We start from the raw sequence: 23,204 nt of genomic DNA on the forward strand, positions 1-23,204 counted from the left end.
CCAGAAAGAGCTTTCTTAAAAAAGCACAAACATGATCACATTACTAGCTTATTTAAACTTTTTCAGTAGCTCCTCATTATTTATAAGATGAAGTCCAGATTCTTTAATAAGGAAGAAACTCACTATTCCTCCCTTGATCTGCCTCTACAGTGTTGTCTCCCATTGCTTCTCGCCCCATACTCTGGATTCTTTATCAGTACCTGAAATGGATCGTGCTGTTTTATGTCTTCATATATTTGCCCATGCTGTTCTCTTTGCTGGTAATGCTTTTCTTATACCCTCAAACTCTATCCCCTTAACCTAAAAAAACCCTCCTCCTGTAAAACCTAGGAAAATTGACTTTTTTTTCTATAGTGCTTTCTTCATTTACTCTCCCTTTCTCTCATTCCCCATAGGGTAGACTATGGTTTCCATTTTGTCCCCATTGAATTCTGTATGTACTTTATATTTTTGCACAAACCAACCATCGTAACAGTTACTTGTGTCCATGTCTGTTTTCCCTAACTAAATGGAGGCCATTGAGGGAATATAGAATGCATTGTTTTTTATCCCCAGTCCTTAGCATGAATTTGATAATACAATAAATGCTTTAAAAAATGTCAGTTGAGGTCCCTGAATGAATGTTACGGCTTGAGCAGTATTTTTTTATTCTATCCCACTTAATATTCAAATGAACTATAAAATGAGGAGGTATAGTATATAGTTTATGAGGTCCCTTCTTTTCTATACTTCTAGGATTCTGGTAGATGTAGAAATGGTCTACACTTTGGGAAAGAATGTCTAAAGTGAAAGTGACCCTGAAAAATTGTAAAACTTGCCAAAAAAACGGCAGAATAAAAACTTCAGCTAGTTCATTCCATTACAAGGCAGTATGCATTCAACATATATATTTAAGGAATGAATTACAAAGAATTCCCAAACACAAAATGTAATGAACTATAACAAGCATAAATAACTGAAACAAATATAAAAATAGCATTTTCAGATTGTTGTTTTTGTGGTCTTCATATGTGAGCTTTGTGATCTTTTAATGATCATGCCAGCTAACGGAGGAACTGGTAAGAGGCGGCAGTATAATAAACAACGCGAAGGAAGTGAGATGATGTAGACTTCTAACTCTTTTTTTTTCTGTTTTTTTGAGACGGAGTCTCACTCTGTCGCTCAGGCTGGAGTGCAGTGGCATGATCTCGGCTCACTGCAACGTCCGCCTCCTGGGTTCAAGCCATTCTTCTGCCTCAGCCTCCCGAGTAGGTGGGACTACAGGTATGCACCACCACGCCCAACTAATTTTTGTATTTTTAGTAGAGATGGGGTCTCACCGTATTGGCCAGGCTGGTCTCAAACTCCTGACCTCATGATCCACCTGCCTCAGCCTCCCAAAAGTGTTGGGATTACAGGCATGAGCCATGAGCCGCCGTGCCCGGCCACTTCTATCTAACTCTTTAAATATCATAACATTGAAGGTATTTGAGTCTCATTGGTGCCCACTATATTCAATCAATAAAGAATTATATTTAGGCGTAATCACCAGACAATGAAATGATTTTCTGAGAAAAGCTGTGTGTACTTTCCTGACCTTTGAAAGTACAAAGCAGTCTTTCTCCAAGATGGTTTAATTGTATTCCCAACTAGGTACAACCACTTTGGAAAACTGTGTGGTTATATTCACTATTCTTTTTTAAGAGACAGGGTCTCACTCTGTTGCCCAGGCTGGAGTGCAGTGGTGTGATCTCGGCTCACCACAACCTTGACCTCCCTGGCTCAAGCAATACTGCCACCTCAGCCTCTGGAGTAGCTGGGACTACAGGTGCATGCTACTGTGCCCAGTTCAATTTCTTTTTCTTTCGTTTGCTATAGAAACGAGGTCTCACTATGTTGCCCAGGCTGATCTCAAACTCCTGGGTGCAAGCGATTCTCCTGCCTCGGCTTCCCAAAGTGCAGGGATTACAGGCATGAGCCACTGTACCTAGCCATATTCACTAAAATTACACATGTGCCTACCTTACGACCAGCAACTCCATGTCTAGGAACATAACTATGAGAAAAGAGTGTAGACATCTACCAAAAGTCTGTACAGGAATATTAATGGCAGCTTTATCATAGACAAAAACTGGATACGATCAAATGTTCATCAACAGTGGAACAGTTAAATTATGATACGATGAAATACATGGCAACAAAATAATCAAGTTATATACAACAATGTGGATGAATCTGAGACACAATGATGAGCATAAGAAGCAAGGCAAAGGAGTACATAATGTATAATTTTATTTATATATAATAAATTTTATTTATATGAATTAATTTTTAAAAAGAGTAAAACTAATCTGTATGACAGAAGTGAAAATAAGTTACCTGAAGGTTCTTGGGGGAGTGGGGGAAGGAGCAACAAAAGACTGAAAAAGAGTATGAGGGAACCTTCTGGGATCCTGAAAATCTGTGAGCTGAATTGAGTGGTGAATACAAATACATGAGAACTCACTGAACTTTTTACTATAGATATGAGGACTTTATATAGGGAAAAAAAAAACTCCAAACACAAACCCTGAAAAGAATATATTTCTATCTGAATTCAGGAAGAGGCTGGACGTGGTAGCTCATACCTGTAATTCTAACACTTTGGGAGACTCCCAAAGGATTGATAGCAATCCTTTGGGATTGCTTGAGGCCAGGAGTTCAAGACCAGCCTGGACAACATCTTGAGACTACCTCTACAAAAGCAAGACAAGACAAAACAAAACAAAAACTAACTGGGCGTGGTAATCCATGTCTGTAGTCCTAGCTACTTGGGAGGCTGAAGCAAGTGGATCACTTGAGTCTAGGAGTTCAAGGCTATAGTGAACGAGCTATCATCCTGCCACTGCTCTCCAGCCTGGATGACTGAGTGAGAACCTTAGAATGAATGAATGAATGAATGAATGGATGAATAAATAAATAAATAATTTCAGGAAGGTAAGAAGATTAACTTGTGTCTTGTAGTAGTAGTTACTGTAGCCATACATATAACTTGACTTATTTGGAACTTAGCTATTTGGAAACCTTACTTAACCAGGTCATAGAAAATACCTGAATGCTAAGCCAAAGATAAAAACAAATACCTTTTGGGCAGTCAAGTATGTTTCACATAGTAGCTGCCATTGGCTGAAACTCACACATTTTAATCAGTAACATCACCTGGACTATGTATTTTTTTTTTTTTTTTGAGACAGAGTCTCGCTCTGTCGCCCAGGCTGGAGTGCAGTGGCGCAATCTCGGCTCACTGCAAGCTCTGCCTCCTGGGTTCATGCCATTCTCCTGCCTCAGCCTCCCAAGTAGCTGGGACTACAGGTGCCTGCCACCACGCTCGGCTAATTTTTTGTATTTTTAGTAGAGACGGGGTTTCACTGTGTTAGCCACGATGGTCTCGATCTCTTGACCTCGTGATCTGCCCGCCTCGGCCTCTGAAAGTGCAGGGATTACAGGCATGAGCCACCATGCCTGGCCCACCTGGACTATGCATTTTTATTTTGCATTTATCCCTAGTAAAGCTATCTGGTCTCCAAGCAGATAGCATATTAAATGGGACATATTAACTGTTTGCATCGTGAATTTATGGGTGTCTAACCTTTTCTGTAAGGGGAACTTTGCTGTTGCTGTAGTACAGATGTTTTCAAACTTCGTTTTAGCTGTGGAACTTTTTCTTCAAATGTTATCTCATGTGTAAGTTCAGTATTCCATGTGTAACAGTTAACTTGCATTAAATCATCCAACTGATATATAGCAGGCCAGTATTTGTATTCAAGTGTGGCAGAGATGGATTAGGTGCTCACCAAATCTGCTTTTTGTTTGTTTCTTTGTTTCTTGACTCTGGTCATGTAGCTAAGCTATATTTCTTAGCCTCTCTTTCATTAGCAGTGGCCATGTGTCTGAGATCTAACCAAGGGAACATGGGTGGAACTGATGTAAGCCACTTTGACACCACAAAACCTCCCATGGGTTCTCTCTCTTCTTCTCTGGTGTACTTGTTGGATGGAGAAGATGCTGAGAAATAGTGGGAAGTCCTAGGGGATGGAAGAACCCAGGATTCTGAATACTCCATTGGACCTTACGTGAGTGGAAAACAAGCTTCTGTTTTGTTCAACTAAATCTTTGCTAAGACTTGAGTGTTCATTATACCAGCTAGTATTACTTATGAATACACTTTGTCTGTGTGACTATAAAAGTTATATTCATCATCTCAGTGTACCAGGCACTTTTCTAATAGGTAGCAGGATTAGAAAGTCTTAATAGGTCCTAAAGATAGTTTCTTCTCCCTAGCTCTACTCCTCTCCTCAGAAAAGGAGAAAAAGTATTATGAATGTTTATTTTGTTTAAATATGTCAGCTTTGACAATTTAGGGGTAATTTCATTTAATGCCTAAACAAGCTGAAGACACAAAGAATTATCACTGAATCAGTGATTAGGAATAATTAGACCAGAAGACCTTTGCAATATCCATCTAGCCTTACTTAAAGTTCAAATTATGAATATATTACTTATATGAGAAAAAAGATCCAAGAAAATAAAGATTTGTCCTTTTACAAAATAATTTCAGCAAAGTAACTAAATCTATTCAGTGGAACATATTTTCTGTTCTCCCAACCAATAATAATAAATAGTAGCTTAGAAGAGAATTAAAATGCTCTTGAGACTTTTTGCTCTAATAATCATTTTAGAGGTTGACAATGAGAGGAAAAGATTGGGTTGATTTAGAAGTCCTTAGGAAAGACTGGATCTCAGATGTTACAGTTACAGAATTTTCTAGTCTTAATAACATCTCATCATCAAACTCATTTTATGTTTTTTACTTCATGTCTTCAATTTGTGTTAAATATGAAGAGTTATAAATCAGATATGAAAATCCACTGTTTGTGAGATTTTAAAAAAGGCTCGATCTTGTCGTTGATTTACAGTGTTTTATAATGAGACTGATTTCATAAGCCAGAGAAGAAATTTGTGACATTTTATGTTCTATTCCACATGCCTGTGTTTACTTTCTAAGCTTTAAATTAATGATCCAAAAAGACATCTCTAGATATATGTATAACTGCAGCCGTAAAATTAGAGAATGCAATTATTTGGATTTACTATTATTTTTGGTTTAAGGAAGACTATTTTATCTAGTTTAACCAACCAATTATCGTAAAAATAACATTCCTTACCTACCCAGCCATCCATTGACTCTTATCTAATGTTTTTTTGGTTGCCGAATTCAGGATAGCTAATTTAAATAATTATATTGGTTATCAGTTTGTTTGTGTGTTTAAGACGGAGTTTCACTCTGTTGCTCAGGCTGAAGTGCAGTGGCACGATCTTGGCTCACTGCAGCCTCTGCCTCCTGGGTCCAAGTGATTCTCCTGCCTCAGCCTCCTGATTAGCTGGGATTACAGGTGTGTGCCACTGTGCCTGGATGGTTATTAGTTTTGAACCACTCTTTTGAAATCAGAAGTTGAAGAAGATAGTGTTCAAAGGTTGAAGCAAATGTGGAGGCTGTACTAATTATAAAAGTGTTCTGTGGGAACCATGAAGCAGCAAGTAAGAAGTTGCACCCTTAATTTTTTTTAAGTAGATTTTATTATTATTTATTTATTTATTTTTTTGAGACGGAGTTTCGCTCTTGTTGCCCAGGCTGGAGTGCAATGGCACGACCTCGGCTCACTGCAACCTCCACCTCCCGGGTTCAAACAGTTCTCCTGCCTCAGCCCACCGAGTAGCTGGGATTATAGGCACGCACCACCACGCCTGGCTAATTTTGTATTTTTAGTAGAGATGAGGTTTCTCCATGTTAGTCAGGCTGGTCTTGAACTCCCAACCTCAGGTGATCTGCCCACCTCGGCCTCCCAAAGTGCTGGGATTACAGGCATGAGCCACTGCGCCCAGCCAAGTAGACTTTATTTTTTAGAGTGCTATTTGGTTGACAGAAAAAATGAGCAGAAAATACAAAGAAGTCCCATGTAAACCCTGCTTCCTCCCCAAAGCCCTCCTACTAGAACTTCTCACACCAGAGTGGTACATTTGTTAAAATAGATGAACCCACATCAACACATCATCACCACCCAAAGTTCATAATTCCATTAAGGTTCACTCTTGGTGTTGTACATTTATGAGTTTTGACAAGCTACAGGCATACTGCAGATATTGTGTGTTCAGTTCCAGACCACTGCAATAAAGCAAATGTCTCAATAAAGTGAGTCACATGAATTTTTTTGTTTCTCAGTCCATATAAAAGTTGTGCATTATGTCTAAAAAATCACATACCTGAATTTAAAATTTTTTTATTGCTAAAAACTGCTAATGATCATCTGAGCCTTCAGAGAGTTGTAATCTTTTTGTTGAAGAGTCTTGCCTCAATACTGATGACTGCTAGCTGCTCAGGGTGCTGGTTGCTGAACATGGGGATGGCTGTGGCAATTTCTTAAAAGAAGACGACAATGAAGTTGCCCCATTGATCAACTTTTCCTTTCATGAAAGATTTCTCTTTAGTATGCAGTACTGTTTGATAGCATTGTACCCACAGAATTTCTTTCCAAACTGGAGTCAATCCCTTCAAATTCTTCCACTGCTATATCAACTAAGTTTATGTAATAAACTTCTATCTCAAGATGGAATAAACTTCCATCTCAAGAAGCCGCTTTCTTTGCTTATCCATAAGAAGCAACTCCTCACCCATTCAAGTTTTGAGATCACAGAAATTCAGTCACATCTTCAGGCTCCACTCCTAATTCCTATTCTCTTGCTATTTCTAACACATCTGCATTACATCCTTCACTGAAGTCTTAAACCTTTCAAAGTCATCAATGAAAGTTGGAATCAGCTTCTTCCAGATACCTGTTAATGTTGATATTATGGATGTCATGTTAGGAGGGATGAAAACAACATTAATCTACTTGTGTATCTCTATCAGAGCTCTTGGGGTAACTAAGTGCATTGTCAATGAGCAGTAATATTTTTAAAGGAATCTTTTTTTCTGAGCAATAGGTCTCAACAGTGGGGCTTAATATAGTCAGTATGCGGCCAGGTGCAGTGGCTCATGCCTGTAATCCCAGCACTTTGGAAGGCCGAGGCGGGCGGATTACCTGAGGTCAGGAGTTCAAGACCAGCCTGGCCAACATGGTGAAACCCCTTCTCTACTAAAAATACAAAAATTAGCCAGGCATGATGGCATACTCCTGTAATCCCAGCTACTCGAGAGGCTGAGGCAGGAGAATTGCATGAATCCTGGAGGAGGAGGTTGCAATGAGCCAAGATGCGCCATTACACTCCAGCCTGGGCGACAAGAGCGAGACTCCGTCTCAAAAAAAAAATTCAGTTTGCCATGCTTAAAACAGATGTGCTGTCATCCAGGCTTTGTTATTTTAATGATAGAGTGCAGTCAGAGTAGATTTAGCATAATTCATACGGGCCCTAGGATTTTTTGGAATAGAAAATGAGCATTGGCTTCAACTTAAAGTCACCAGCTGTATTAGCCCCTAACAACAGAGTCAGCCTATCCTTTGAAGCTTTTAAGCCAGACACTGACTTCTCTAGCTATGAAAAGTCCTAGATGGCATTTTGTTCCAATAGCAGACTGTTTCATCTATGTTGAAAATCTGTTGTTTAGTGTACAGTGTTCATCAGTGTTCTTAGTGTTCATCAATGGTCTTAGCTAGATCTTCTGGATAACTTGGTACAGCTTCTGCATTAGCACTTGCTGCTTTACCTTGTACTTTTATGTTCTGGAGATGGGTTATTTCTTTAAACCTTATAAACCAACTTCTGCTAGCTTCAAACTTTTCTTCTGTAGCTTCTTTACTTCTCTCAACCTACATAGAATTGAAGAGAGTTAGGGCCTTGCTCTGGATTAGGCTTTGGTTTAAGGAAATATAGCTGGTTTGATCATTTATTCAGACCACTCAAGCTTTATTGTTTTGCTTTCTTATATTTCATGTGATGCCTGGAGAGTAGCACTTTTAATTTCCTTCAAGAACTTTTCAGGCCAGGTGTGGTGGCTCACACCTGTAATCCCAGCACTTTGGGAGGCTGAGGCTGGTGGATCGCTTGAGCTCTGGGTTTGAGACCAGCCTGGGCAACAAACCCTATTTCTACAAAAAGTAGAAAAATTAGCCAGGCTTGGTGGTGCACGCACATAGTCCCCTCTACTCAGGAGGCTGCGGTGGGAGCATCGTTGGTCAAGGCTGCAGTGAGCTGTGATCGCGCCATAGCACTCTAGCCTAAGTGACAGAGTGAGACTCTGCCTCAGGAAAAAAAAAAAAAAAGAAAGAAAGAAAGAAAGAAAAATAATTTTTCCATTTAATTCACAACCTGGCTGTTTGGTGTAAGAGGCCTATCTTAGCTTTTGTTTTGCCTTCCTCACTAAGCTTAATCATTTCTAGCTTTTGATTTAAAGTGAGATATGTGACTCTTCCTTTCACCTGAACACTTAAATGCCATTGTAGGGTGATATGGTTTGGATGTTTCATCCCCTCCAAATCTTGTGTTAAAATGTGACCTCCAATGTTGGAGGTGAGGCCTAGTGGGAGGTGTCTGACTAATAGGGGCGGGTGGATCCCTCGTGAATGGCTGGTACCCTCCTCTCAGTAATGAGTGAGTTCTTGCTCTGAGTTCACACGAGATATTGTTGTTTAAAAGAGTGTGGTATGTCCTCTCCTCTCTTTAACTCTCTCTCTCTCACCATGTGATATGCCTGCTCCCCCTTTGCCTTCCACCATGATTGTAAGCTTCCTGAGGCTGTCACCAGAAGCAAAACAGATGCTGTGCCATGCCTGTATAGGCTGCAGATCCTTGAGCTGAACAGACCTCTTTTTTAAATAAATTACTCAACCTGAGGTATTCCTTTATAGAGACACAAAGTAGACTAACATATAGGATGACTAATTGTCCTAATTTCCACATCATCATGTCTCAGCAAATAGGGAGGCCCAAGGGGAAGAAAAGAGGCAAGGAATGGCCAGTTGATGGAGCAGTCAGAACACATAAGGGTTTATTGGTTATGTTTGCTATCTTACGTAGGTTTGTGGTGCCCCCAAACAATTACAGTAGTAACATCAAAGATTATTTATCATAGATTACCATAATAGATACAATAGTAATGAAAAATTTGAAGTAATGTGAGAATTACTACGGGTGATACAGAGATACAAAGCGAGCACATGCTGCTGGAAGAATGGTGCCAACAGACCTGATTGACACAGGGTTGCCACAAACCTTAATTTTATAAAAAATGCAATATCTGCAAAGTGCTAAAAAAATGAGATATGCCTGTAGTTGGAATCATACAGTATGTAGCCTTTTCAGATTGGCTTCTTTAACTTAGTAATATGTATTTAAGGTTCTTCCATGTCTTTTCATAGCTTGATGGCTCATTTCTTTTTAGCACTGAATAATATTCAGTTGTCTGGATGTACCAAGGTTTATTTAGCCATTTGTCTACTGAAAGACATGTTGGTTGCTTCCAAGTTTTGGCAATTATGAATAAAGTTGCTATAAACATTCATGTGGAGGTTTTTGTGTGGACATAAGCTTTCAGCTCATTTGGGTAAACACCAAAGAGTACGATTGCTGAATTGTACGTTAAGAGTATGTTTAGTTTTTAAAGAAACTGCCAAATCGTCTTTTAAAGTAGCTGTACCATTTTTGTGTTCCCACCAGCAGTGCATGAGAGTTCCTGTTGCTTCACACCCTTGCCAGCATTTGGTGGTTTTAGTGTTTAGGATTGTTGCCATTTTAATAGGTTTGTAATGATATGTCGTTGTTTGAACTTGTGATTGATTCCCTAGTGAAATACTTTGTGGAGCATCTTTTCATATGCTTATTTACCATTTGTATGTCTTGTTTGGTTAGGAGGCTGTTGAGATTTTTGCCCATTTTTAATTGATTTCATTGATTTCTCCTCTAATTTTGTTTATTCTACTTACGTTGTATTTAATTTGCTTTTGTTTTTCTAGTATCCTAAGGTAGAAGCTTCAGTTATTGATTTTAGACCTTCTTTTTTTAAGATATGCATTTCAATGTTATAGACTTCCCTATAAGTACAGTTTTCACTGCATCCCACAAATTCTGATAAGTTATATCATCATTTTTACTTAGTTTGCAATATATTTAAATTTCTCTTGAGATTTCTTTGATAACATGTACTTGAAAGTGTGTTGCTTTATCTTTATGTGTTTGAGGATTTATCAGCTGTCTTTGTGTTATTGATTTCTAGTTTAATTCTGGTGTAGTCTGAGAGCAGACATGGTATGATTTCTATTTTAAATTTGTTAAGGTGTGTTTTATGACCTAGAATGTGGCCTATCTTGATGAATGTTCCATGTGAGCTTGAGAAGAATGTGTGTTCTGCTGTTGTTGAATGAAGTAGTCTGTAGATGTCAGGTATATTCAGTGAATTGCCGGTGCTGTTGAGATCAACTATATTCTCACCGATTTTCTGCCCACTGGATCTGTCCATTTCTGATAAGAGGGCTGTTAAAATTTCCAACTGTAATACTGGATTCATGTATTTCTCGTTGGCATCTCTTAATTTTTGCTTCCTATCTCTTAATGCTCTGTTGTTAAGTGCATACACATTAAGGATTGTTAAATTTTCTTGGAGAATTGACTCCTTTATCCTTTCTTTACCCCTGATAATTTTTATTTCTCTAGTCTGCTGTGCTGAAGTTAATATAGTGATTCCAGCTTTTGATTTGTGTTAGCACAGTATAGCTTTCTCCATTTACTTTTAATCTATGTGTGTCTTTATATTTAAAATGTATTTCTTGTAGATAACGTATAGTTAGGTTTTGTTTTGTGATTTATTCTAACGGTCTCTATTTTTAAATTGGATTTAGATTATCGATGTGTAAAAGTGATTATTGATATATTTGGATTATTAATATCTACCATATTACTTCCTATTTGTATTCATTGCCTTTGTTCTTTTTTCCTTATATGTCTTCCACCCATTTTCTACATTTTCTGGTTTAATTGAGCATTTTGTTTCACTCCATTTTCTTTTGTTTCTTAGCATGTCAGTTATCTTTTTTTAACTTTTTAAATTGTTTGCTTTTGAGTTTGCAATATACATTTACGATTAATTCAAGTCTAGTTTCAAATAACACTGTATCATTTTACAGATACTGCATGTATCTTATAATAAGAAAATATTCCTAATCTCTCTCTGGAATCCTCAATTTTTGATGCTTAAAGTTCTATCTTAGAACCGATTGCCTGATTATTTATCAGATGTCCAATGTTGATATTTGTTTCAGGTTATGAGAATATTTATTTTCTAAGTATATATTCATTAAAGAACATATAAAGCTTGTTAAGAGCTTGTGGATATCTCTTTATGCTTTAAAAATTTCCCTAAATTGTGATGCTAATGTTAAAAATAATAATTATAAAAAACTTGAACAGGCCAGATAATAGTTTGTACATCTACTAAATTGGCATTTCTGGGAAGAAAATTGCTTTAACAATTTTAGTAGTATTTCTTGCCTTCTCCTTATCCTCCTGTTTCACATTATTCTTTTTTCCTTTTTTAATATTCTGTCCATATCCTTTAAGAAACAAAAAATTACTTGGTATAGAGAAAATGACTCCCTGTAGTGCATTTAACTGCTTCCTCACCCATGATCTGTATTTTGATGTAATCTTCATGGTATCAGAGATAATGTTAAACTCAAATAGGTGCTTACTGACTTTCTCATTACTAGTCTGAAGTTAGGTAGTTTTATTTTAGATCTCTCTCTTTTTATTAATTAATTCAACAAATATTTATTGTGTGCTTACAATTTGCTAAGCACTTGAGACACTATGGAGAATCAAAACAAACATGGATGTTATAGCCTAGTGGGTAAAACAGGCATTGATTGATAATTTCACGAGGAAATATACAATTACAACGCCACAGCTGTGATGGAGAGATGCATTGGGCTGTAAAGGCCTGTAATAGGGAGATTTGACCTGGTCAGAGGGGTCAGGAAAGACTTCCCTGAGGAAGTGACACTTGAACTGAAATCTGAAGCATGATAATGATGGAAGGAAGATCGTATACCATCCAGTTGCAGAGAACAGGATGAGCAAGAGCCCTGTGGTGGGAAGGAGAGTGACAGGTGTGAAGAACTGAAAGAATTCAAGTATGTCTTTATGAGGGAGCCTTACAAGGGTAGAGTGGGTATGAGTAGGCTCATACCAAAATCAAGAATTTTGTCTTGATTGTAAGTGGGAAACCATTGAATAGTTCCAGACAAGATGAGGTAAATTTGTATTTTGAAAAGATTATTCTGACTACAGTAGGAAAAATGTTTTTTGGTGGTCATAGTAGATGTAGGTTGATAAATTTAGGAGGCTCTTGTAATCCAGGTGAGAGATGATGGTAGATTCATTTAGGGGAGAATGGTGAGAAGTAGATAGGTTGGATAATACTCAGGAGGGGAAATGAGTAAGATTCATTAGATATTGGATATTGAATGGTGAGAGATGGTGATAACTAAGGTTTGGGGCTTGTATAGCTGGATGAATGTGGTCCCATTTATTAGGATAAGGAACACTAGAATAAGACCAGATTTTAAAAGAAAGATCATAGTGTAGGTTTTATACGTTTTGAACTTGAGATAGCTATTAAGTGTTAAATTGAATATATGAGTATGTTGCTCAAAGAAGACAAAGTATGAACTGGAGATATAAGTAGATGTGTTAATTGTGAATGATGATATGCATGGTGAGAATATGGACAGAGGATGTCAAGGATCCAGCTTTCAAAGTCTCCCAACACTTAGAGACTAGATAGAAAATATTGAACCTCTGATTGAACCAGTCAGAAGTGTGATCAGAGGTTAGGGGAAAACTAGAATTTTTTTTTTTTTTTTAATATTTAAAGGTGTTCATTATGGTTTTAGGAGTTTTTGTTTTTGTTTAAAAATGATTTCTTATTTAAATAAATCTTTTATTCCAACACTTAAAAAATCTTTATTTGGCCCTTCTAGACGTATCTTTGTCTCTTAAATGAGAAGCGGTTGTGTACATGTCAGGTGTGCCTTTCACTTCTGATACTTAGAAGAAAGGTAGTTTTCACTGCAGGAAGTGTTTCATTGGGAAGCATATGTGCTCCAGTGATAGGAAATGGGAAGAGGATGTTTTGTTATTAATTATTTAGCTTTGTATAAACAAGGACTTTGTACTTTTGAAAGATGTCATCTTCTGGTTAATATAAATGAGTTCTATTTTTAAAGATTTTTATGAGTTGATCTAAGAGCTATGTAGTCACTTGTTCTAGTAACAGAATTCTAGAACTCTCTTTGTTAACCGTAGCATCTATCATGTATTCTAATACAAAAGAGCAAGTGGGATACATATAATAAAATAGAATATTCGTATAGAAAAGTTGTGTCATAAAATAGGAAGTGACAACAGACTATGTCTAAGCTGAGAAAGCTCATGTTTTCCCTTTTCATCTCTACTTGTTTCCCTAATAAACACATTTTAATGAGAAACTGATATCCTATTTTAAACTTTTTAAAAGACTTTTAGCATTTACACTAATCCTAGAATATCTAAGAGTTAGTGCCACAACTATGCTCTTTAAGCCTGAATTTCTCAATTATGTTCTGTGGATCATAGTTTAGAAAATGCTAATTTAAGCAGGTCATGGAATCCTGAACTGGAAATTAGGATATACTTGTGTTTTTTTATTTTTGCTGTTAACTTCTAAGGGACAGGTCCCTTTTGTCTGGCTTTGTTGGATTATTTATAATATGAGAGACTTAGTGAAGTTGGTCTGTGATGACTTGTCTAGTTCTCTGTTCTATAATTATGATTCTGTAGATTAGTGTTAAGGCTTTTATTTTTGCTGTGGATTTTAAATATATATATTTTTACTTAACTTTTCTGCTTTCAAAAGGAATGAAAACACATACTTATAAAATTTGATATATGATAGAAATTAATAATATAAAAAATGAAATTCTACCCTGAAAGAAAATAACAACACATTTTTTCTTGATGCATATGATTCTACCGTGTACATACTGATATATTAATCATTATTTTAAATAAAAGTAGGATCATGGTCTACTTTTTATGGTATATTTTACCTTTCTATCTTGTCTCTTGGATTCCTTTCCATATACATTTATCTCTTACATTTTTTTCTTGTCACTGTTATGAATGTAGTATATAGCCATGGTTAAAACTTAAAACCAGAGGTCTAAGGTGATTTCTTAGCTATACTCCTCACAAGTAATCACTGTTATAAAAGCATGTGTGTCTTTGTAGCATGTATAAATATATGTGTGTTTCTTTTTGTATGTATATATATGTACTATGATTTATTTAGTCACTTTTCTATTGATGGTCATTAGCATTTGCCTCCTTTCCTTTCATACTGTACATACATATATATATATATATATCCTGTATATATGTATATGCTAACTCATAAGAATGTAAGTGCAAAAGATTGTTGAATTTTTTATTGTGCTTTCTTTATGTGCTATAGATAATCTTTGTCTTCAAGGAGGTTTGGCTAGGATTACTGTATCTTTGATTCTTAGCACACTATCATGAGCACTGCGTAGGTCTCTACAATCTCACAGAACATTTCAGGCAAATGTTCTCATTTTGCCCCGAAATCTTGATACAGTTTTCTCTTTTGGTGAACTTGACTGAATTACAGAGGAACCTTGAGAACTTAGTTCTTTTAGTTTAAGATCTATCTACAGCTTGTTATTCACAATTCGGTCCGTGGACCAGTAGCATAGTTATCATCTAGGAGCTTAGAAATGTGGAATCTCAGGCGGAGTAGTAAATTGAAATCTGCATCTTAATATGATCTCCTAGTATAGTAATTCATTCACACATTATAATGTGAGAAGCACTGGTCTGGAAGCAGATTTGTTGCATTGTTTTTTGGGGGGGCATGTTTCTTTGTGCCCACATCATGAGTTTGGTCCTTTGCTTCTTGTTGTTCTGATTAAGAGAAGAGGAAGAAAAGAAAAACATACAAATGTTTGAACTAAAGAGCTGAATTTACTAAGGATAAAAGCCATTTTCCCTGTTTTTATTGTGCCTTGCAATGGTAGAGTCTTTTGTTGATTTTTACCTGGTTTTTACCACACCAGCTATGTGGAAGAGAAGAGAAAAAACGGTTGTGTTGTAATACTTGCTTTGAAAACACAGATTTGTACTACACAATTGATATTAAGGAAAAATTTAAGCATTATGTGAATTTTGTGTTGACTTATATGCCATTTGTCTGTAAGAATTACTAACTGAATACAGAAAACTGTATCCAGGGCTGGACACGGTGGCTCACACCTGTAATCCCAGCATTTTGGGCGGCCGAGGCAGGCAGATCACCTGAGGCCAGGAGTTCAAGACCAGCCTGGCCAACATGGCCCGTCCCTACAAAAATACAAAAACTAGCCAGGTGTGGTGGCATGTGCCTGTAATCCCAGCTATTCGGGAGGTTGAGGCAGGAGAATCACTTGAACCCGGGAGGTGGAGGTTGCAGTGAGCCAAGATCATGCCACTGCACTCCAGCCTAGGTGACAGAATGAGACTGTCTCAGAAAACAAACAGACAAACAAACAAACAAAACCCCACAACTGTATCCAGCTGAAGCAAGCTACATAAGAATACTCAAAATACATACATCTCAACTACCAGCTGCCTGAGTTCTCCACATGTTAAAGCCATACCTGCCCACCTGTGGTGTTACAGCATTACTTGCTGTACACTTCAGGTAACCCTCCTTCTACCACCTCAGAAAAAATCAAAAGCTGCAACCATTCTGATGCCTACTTTCACAAGCAAACTTCCAGTTTAAAAAAAAAAAACACCCTATTTATTTTTGTATTTATGTGTTTCTTAGCCATTTAAAATGGTGCTACAGTTTAGCGTCTTGTCTTACATGTCGTTGTCTAAGTTTCTGAATGTTATTCCCCTAACTCCATCTTCCCTGTAAGCCCTGTGGTTTTAGGGTGCAGTTTTGCTTAGTGCAGGGAATTTTAAAGAATTCATGTTACATTATGGCAGAATTGACTGTAGATCATAAGACTCTCAAAAGACATTGCCTCCATCCTTTACACTTTATACTTTGTAAAAATCCCCTTACTACACACTTCCCTAACACCTTACATTTTCCCCTTCCTTATGTAAGCCTTTCCTGATAATGGGAAGTTCCAGGAAGACAGGGACAGTGTCTGGTTGTTTTTTGTTGTTGTTGTTGTTGTTCCTCTAGTCCTAATATAGTGCCTGATAGGTAGGTGCTCAATAACTATTTGAAATATGATTCTGTGAATTTAAGTAATTGCATATTTATTCAGAGAATTTAAATGTCATTTTGACATAGCAACCAGAATGATTCTTAAAGCTGTGCTTTAAATGTTATAAATTGTTGTTTAAAAAATGTAAAAGTAAGTAGTTGCTGTTGGAAGTGGCAGAAATGTTCTTGTTCTGACATTTCAATGAGCAGCCAACTTTTATAGTAGAAAGAATTCTTAATGAATGTAGTAATCCAGTGGTTCTAGTATCATTGTTTCTAAGAGATTATACATCCTGTGAATATTTTCTTTAAAATTCCTAAATTCATTATATATATTTGAGAAAATTCAGAAAATGAAGTGTCAAGTTATTGTTTTAAAGTTAGATTAAGGATAAAGCTTAGAGAAATAACTAACGTGAGTGATATTAGGCTTTCGTTAATAATAGAACATAATTTTGAGCACTTGTCAAATTAAATTTTAGCTAGCCGTGACAGATCTGAGTCTTCACCTTTATTTCTTTGATTCTTGCTTGTGTAGTGTGTCTTCCTCAGTCCATGGTTCTTTCTGCCTTCTAATTGTATTTGATTTTGTTTCTGTTATTTAATATTTTCCATCTCCATATTTCTGAATTAAATAGGGAAGCTTATGGTAAAAAAAATTGTGGGCCGGGTGCGGTGGCTTATGCCTGTAATCCCAGCACTTTAGGACGCCGAGGCAGGTGGTTCACGAGTTCAGGAGTTCAAGACTAGCCTGGCCAAGATGGTGAAACCCCGTCTCTACTTAAAATACAAAAAAAATTAGCCGGGTGTGGTGGCGGGTGCCTGTAACCCCAGCTACTTGGGAGGCTGGGGCAGAGAATTGCTTGAACTGGGGAGGCGGAGGTTGCAATGAGCCAAGCGTGCCACTGCACTCCTGGGTAACAGAGCGAGACTCCGTCCCGGGGAAACGAAAAAAAGAATTTTGGTAGTTTTTCGAAACAATTGTGTTGATGGTTTACAAAATACCGTAATCCTTGTTACCTTTAACCTTACCTCTTGGTATAAGACTCATTTAACAAGGAGTCTCTGAATTTTACCATGTGGATTTCAGGACTCAAATTCTATTCCCAGTTTGCAACTTTTCTCAAAATTATAGCTCTAATTTAATTTTCCACTAAGATATCTTAATAGGGTGATCTTGATTAACTTCTCTCCCTCATAAAATCTATGAAGCAAGATATTTTGTTATACTACTCAAAAGATACTCTCAAAGAGGGAACATTACAGTATTAATTATAAAAATCTATATTATAGACTCAAAGGAAGAGGTTGTAAAATTTAAAAATATTTACTTGCGTATTGTTTTATTTTAATGTGATTTCAAACCTATAGAAATTTGCAATAGTACAATAAACTCCCATAAATCCTTTACTTAGATTCAACAACTGTGTACAGTTTGCCCCATTTGCTTTATCATATTTTATCTACCTTTATATGCAGTTTTTCCTGAGTCATTTGAGAATAAGTTGGAAACATTGTGACCCTCTATCCCTAAATCCTTCTGTGAGTACCTTAAGAATATGATAACTTTCTCTTACATAACCATAGTAAAATTATTAAAATGAAAATTTTAATATTTTTGTAATTAGATAATGGCCTAACCCATAATCCACATTCAGAATTTGTCAGTTGTCCCAATAATGTCTTTCATAACTGTTTTTCCCCAGTTCATGATACAATCCAAAATCATGCATTGCTTTAAATTGTCTGTCATTAGTCTCTTTGAAACTGAACAATTCCATGATCTTTCTTTGTCCTGATCCTGACATTTTTGAAGCAAGGAGGATGGTTATTTTGTAGAACTTTTTTTTTTTTTATTGGGAGGGGGTACCAGTCTGATTTTGCTCATGATTAGATGTAGGCTATGCATTTTTTTTGCAGGAATGACACACAAATGATGTTGTATCCCTCACTGTTCATCAATCATATCAGGAGGCAAATAATGTCAGTTTGTTCCAGTATTGCCATTTAGTCACTTGCTCATTGATTGATTGATTCATTCATTCTCTTCAATGTATTTACTCCTTTCCTCAAGCCAATAATACACAGAAAGTGGTTTCTGACTGGCTAATCTATAACACTGATTAAGCAAATCTGCTAACTAGATAGAGTTCAGTGTTGCTTTTAGTTTTCAAGGTAAAATCTAATTATGATGAAATGGTAAACCTTAAGGGAACATTTGGATGAGTTTTGAAAATACTTAAACCCTCATAATCCAGATCCCTATCAAAGCTTAGAAAGTTTCCATCACCAAAAGCTTCCTGGTTCTCCTTTCTGGTTAATAATAATGCCATCTACCACTGAGAACTGCTTTTCTGATATTTTTTTTCTATTATAGATTAGTTTGGTTTGGTTTAGAACTTTGTATAAATAGAATCATACAGTGTATACTCTAGTGTCTAGGGTCTTTTTTTGGCATAATATCTGTGAGATGCATCCTCATTGTTTTGTGAATGAGTAGTTCATTCTTTTTATGGCTGAGTAGTATTCCATTGTATGAAAACACCACAATGTATTTAGACATTCTTTTGTGATGTACATTTGGGTCGTTTTATTTTATGACTATTATAAATAAAGCTGCTGTGAACATTTAGGTACAAGTATATATATTTTTAATTTCTCTTGAGTAAATACCTGTAAGTGGAATTGCTGGTTCATAGGGCAGATGTATGCTTAACTTTTTTTAAAAAACTGCAAACATGTTCCATAGAAATTGTACCATTTTGTGCTCCCATTACCAATCATGAGAGTTCTGGTTACTCTACATCCTCACCAGCATGTGGTTTTATCAGCCTTTTAAGTGTGAGCCATTCTAGTGGATGTGAGTAATATCTCATTATGGCTTTAATTTGCATTTCCCCAATTACTAATGAGATTGTTATCAGTGGTGGGTATCTGAGTTACTGGTGGTGCACCCATACAGGCCTGCAGCAACCTTAATTCTTGCCTCCTCAGAAGAAAGAATTTAGGGGCATAAGGCAGAAGAGGAGATCGAGGCAAGTTTTAGAGCAGGAGTGAAAGTTTATTAAAAAGCTTTAGAGCAACAATGAAAAGGAAGTAAAATACACTTGGAAGAGGGCCAAGTGGACATCTTGGAGGACAGATGTCTCCATTCGATCATGGACTTAGGGTTTTATATGTTGGCATGCTTCTGGGGTCTTGTGTCCCTTTCCCTTTGATTCTTCCCTTGGGGTAGGCTGCCCGCATGCACAGGGGCCTGCTAGCACTTGGGAAGTGAGTGTGCGCAGTGTGTTTACTGGAGTTGTACACATGCTTACCTGAGGCGTTCTTCTCTTTACCGGTGGAATGTCCTCAGAAGGTCATATACCAGTTAAACTCTGCCATTTTGCCTTTTGTGTGCATGCTTGAGCCCATTCACCCAGTTCCTGAGATCTTATCGGGAAGCTGCTGATCACCAGTTTCATGTGTTTCTATCTGTTGGGAAACTGCCTTTCCCTGGTGCTGGCTGCAACCAATTACTATTTTAGAGAGACAGTTAACAACTGCCTGACCATCACCTGGTGGTCACCTGACATGCCTGGTGGTCACCTGACATTCCTGGTGGGGTGGGCCCTCTCCTGTCCTGTTCATGTCTGACTAGATACCTACTGTAACAAGATTAATTCTTTTTTCATATGCTTGTTGGCCTTTAATATTTTTTTGTGTGCGTGAAGAGTTTGTTCAACTCTTACTGACTTTTTAAAAAATTGGTTTTTCTTTTTACCAGTAAGGTATAGAAGTTCTTTGTATATTCTGGTATAAATTATTTGAAATGTTTGTATTGTGAATATTTTTTCTCATTTTGTGGCTTGCATGTTGATTTTCCTAATGATGTCTTCTATTGAACAGAAGTTGTTAAATTTATGAAATCATACTTATTACCATTTTCCTGTATTAGTTTTGCTTTCTGTGTCCTAAGAAATCTTTGCCTACCCTCAGGTCACAAAAATACTCACTCACAGTTTTTTTTTACAAGCTTTATAATTTTATACTCTACATTTAGGTCTTTTTTTCTCCTCACAGATTATTTTTTGTGAATGATGTGATGTGCCATAAATAGAGATTAGAACTTGATATTTATTGTTCCTTTCCTTGTGCAAATTCACCATTCTAGGTTTTCTTTTAAATAAGGGGAAAATGTACAATTGTAAGATTCTCTAATTTGATATGTTTTTGAGAAAGCCAAATACTTCATTTCTTTAATATACAAATATGTAGATTTAGAGACTATATAAACAAATCAAAATGCAGTTATTGGTTGATGATAATAGTGATAAATAGAACATTGTAATATGTTTAAAGGAATAGGTATGTTGGTTTTCGTTACGATTTCGACCATAATAAGAAAAAGACTTAGTGTGAGACCTGTTTTTCATTGTAAAACATTCTACAAATAAGTGGATAGTTTTTTTAGTTTGCCAGATGAAATCATTTTTAAAACAACTTGCAGAGTGACTTTGATTGCACTGTTATATCTGTTTTATTGGTAGTCTGAAGTCTGTGAGGCTTTCCATTTGAAACCCCTATTTTCAGGGGTTTATGAGCAGGCAGTTGAAAAGAACTTAACCAGCAAAAACTTGGCATTCATGATCTTGGTTCAGTATAAGGTACTTGCTTTAACAAATTTTAAGTAGTCAGCTCTTTTTTAAAGTTGTAAGGAGCACAAAGAGGAATAAAGGAATTTCTTTGGTTAAACAGATAGGGAATATTTTTCCAGCCAACTTATCCCAATTGGATTTATATAGCAAACTTTCTTCTTCCAGAAATTTTTTAAGTATGTACATTCCTATGTTCCAGTTGCCACAAGATCTTGCCTCAAGATTTTCCTTTTCCTTTGCTGTAGTTTATAGCAAATACCCTCTGCCTCTGCTCTTTTTCTTCCTATTTATGCTTTTTAAATTCTTCATAGTGTAATATATTTACACTAAAAATGGTGTTGGCTTTCTTTTGGCTTTTTTCCTCCTCTTACAGTACCAGTTTGAATTTTACCTATTGGTTGAAAAACAATATTAACTTTGAGAGATGTAGTATAAATAGCATTGATTTGCTTGAAATTAAACTTCTGAAATGCAGGCCATCAAAACTCTTCTGAAGAGTTGTCACTCCAAGACTAGGCAAGGTTTTTTTTCTTCTTCTGGAAAGTATCAATATCAGCTTGAGTAATTTGATTTTCTTCACAATCTGTTTTTAACTCGCTATCATTTGCATGGTGAACACTTAACTACTACTGGTCCATAAAGGTGTTGGTGGGTTGTTGTTGTTTTTATTTCACTTAAAAAAATCATTTCCCGAAAGCCTATTACAGAAATGTAACCTACTGCAGGAAGTGAGGTGATCCTTTGGAAATCTTGACTTTGTCTCTACTCTGATGATACTTTGCTTCAGGCAAGAGGTTTTTAGGTGCTGCTGAAGTTTTTGAGATCTTGGAAAATGGCGTAATAACATGACACCAGCTCTTAAGCAGCAACATCTGCTGTGGTTCAAAGCCACACAAAGAAAGCTGCTTAAGCAGTCAAATGTTTTGGACTGCACAGACATGTGTGGTTCAACTGCAAAGACTGCAGAGTAGAGGAATCTTAAAGTTTAGAGAGACTGTTAAAGACTGGAGTCAGGGAAGATGAGCATCTTTAAGAAACAAACATCACCTTGTCCTCCAAGCTATCGAAGATCTTTGTCAGAACCTGCTTATGCAGATTCAGAGATAGGAACAAGTTTAAAGAGTTATCCATGGTGTGGTCCAGTGAAAAGCAAGAGGAAGAAAAATGATTCTGCTGTTTCCAATCTGGGAAAGCCACTGGGTGCTTATCGGTGGCAGAGACATCCGAGTTTTAGGTGGAAAGGGAACAAAAGGGAGAGATTGCAGAGTAATAAAGGAGACCTGGTTGAACGACAACAACAAAAGGTCATCCTGCCAAAGATGGTTAGTAATAATGCTTCTTCCTCTGCTGATGAGGTCCTTGGAACATCAACAGAGAAGCCACACCTGGTCAACAGCCGATCACTTCGAGCACCATTCACCAGATCTGTTTCAGAACCAGAACCCCGCTGCAGTATCCCATTTGTTAGACTGTGGCCAACTTCACTTGGGTCAGTGGAGTCTGAGCAGCAGGGATATTTCATCCGTGGCATTTTCTCTACTCTTTCCAATGGCTTCTCCAGGATGCTGAATCTAAAAGGAGAATCAACCAATGAGCCAGTAAGAGAAGGTATATTGCAATGAATAAGGGGAAAAAAGGGATGGCTCAGATTTAGTTACTGTTGAAATTTTAATTATTTGTTTTATAATCAGGTGAAACATTTCATTTTCTCATTATAAAACAAATATATTTAATTAGCACAATTTTAAAAAAGTGATCATCACTGCTTCAGAAACCTTTTAATGACTTATAGTAATAGCAAGAAGTGAATGGATTTGGTTAATTAAGGAATATTTTTATGTTGTTAATTCTTGAACTCAATTTTGGAGCACATGTGAAAAAATTATTTTTAATGCTCATTTGTCTCCACTGATCTACTTTTCCAGGTTAAGTGCAATTTGGAGGGGAAAATATTCAAGTAATTTGTCATGACTGTTGAGAATTTAAAATGTATTTCTACTGTTATCTCTTCATAAACATTATTTTTAAATTAATGTTATTAGTGAGAAATGTAGAGCAGAATTACACTGATAGCTCTTAAAAAGTTGGGATTTTAATTTGCTTGTATCATAAAATACTCCATTTGAATATGGAAGCCAAGCATGCAAATCTTGAATATTTGTTTAGATGACAAAATAGAAATTTGTGTTTGATTCATTTAAGACAATAGAATTGTCAAATTTTTAAAAATCTTATTTGGGACTTTTTAAAATTTAAAAATTATTTCATATTGATTATAGCATTGTTAAAGCCAAAAAGCCCAC

At 36.6% G+C, this 23,204-nt stretch overlaps 1 protein-coding gene across 8 annotated transcripts in view; it reads left to right on the forward strand.

Annotated features, from left to right (window-relative positions):
* RASAL2 (RAS protein activator like 2) overlaps positions 1-23,204 on the forward strand; it is a 384,747-nt gene that overhangs the window by 117,268 nt on the left and 244,275 nt on the right. For 2 of the 8 annotated variants that reach the window (XM_017002850.2, XM_017002851.2), the window contains exon 1: positions 17,191-22,509. The exons of 4 other annotated variants lie outside the window; for them this stretch is intronic. In XM_017002850.2, coding sequence (XP_016858339.1) covers positions 21,921-22,509 — 589 coding nt within the window. In that variant the 5' untranslated portion in view covers positions 17,191-21,920. Of the gene's footprint in view, positions 1-17,189; positions 22,510-23,204 lie in introns of those variants that run through there. 2 more of the 8 variants (XM_017002849.2, XM_017002852.2) reach the window with 2 other exon arrangements.

This window comes from Homo sapiens, chromosome 1, assembly GCF_000001405.40.
Source record: "Homo sapiens chromosome 1, GRCh38.p14 Primary Assembly".
In the NCBI taxonomy this organism is placed as follows: Eukaryota; Metazoa; Chordata; class Mammalia; order Primates; family Hominidae; genus Homo; species Homo sapiens.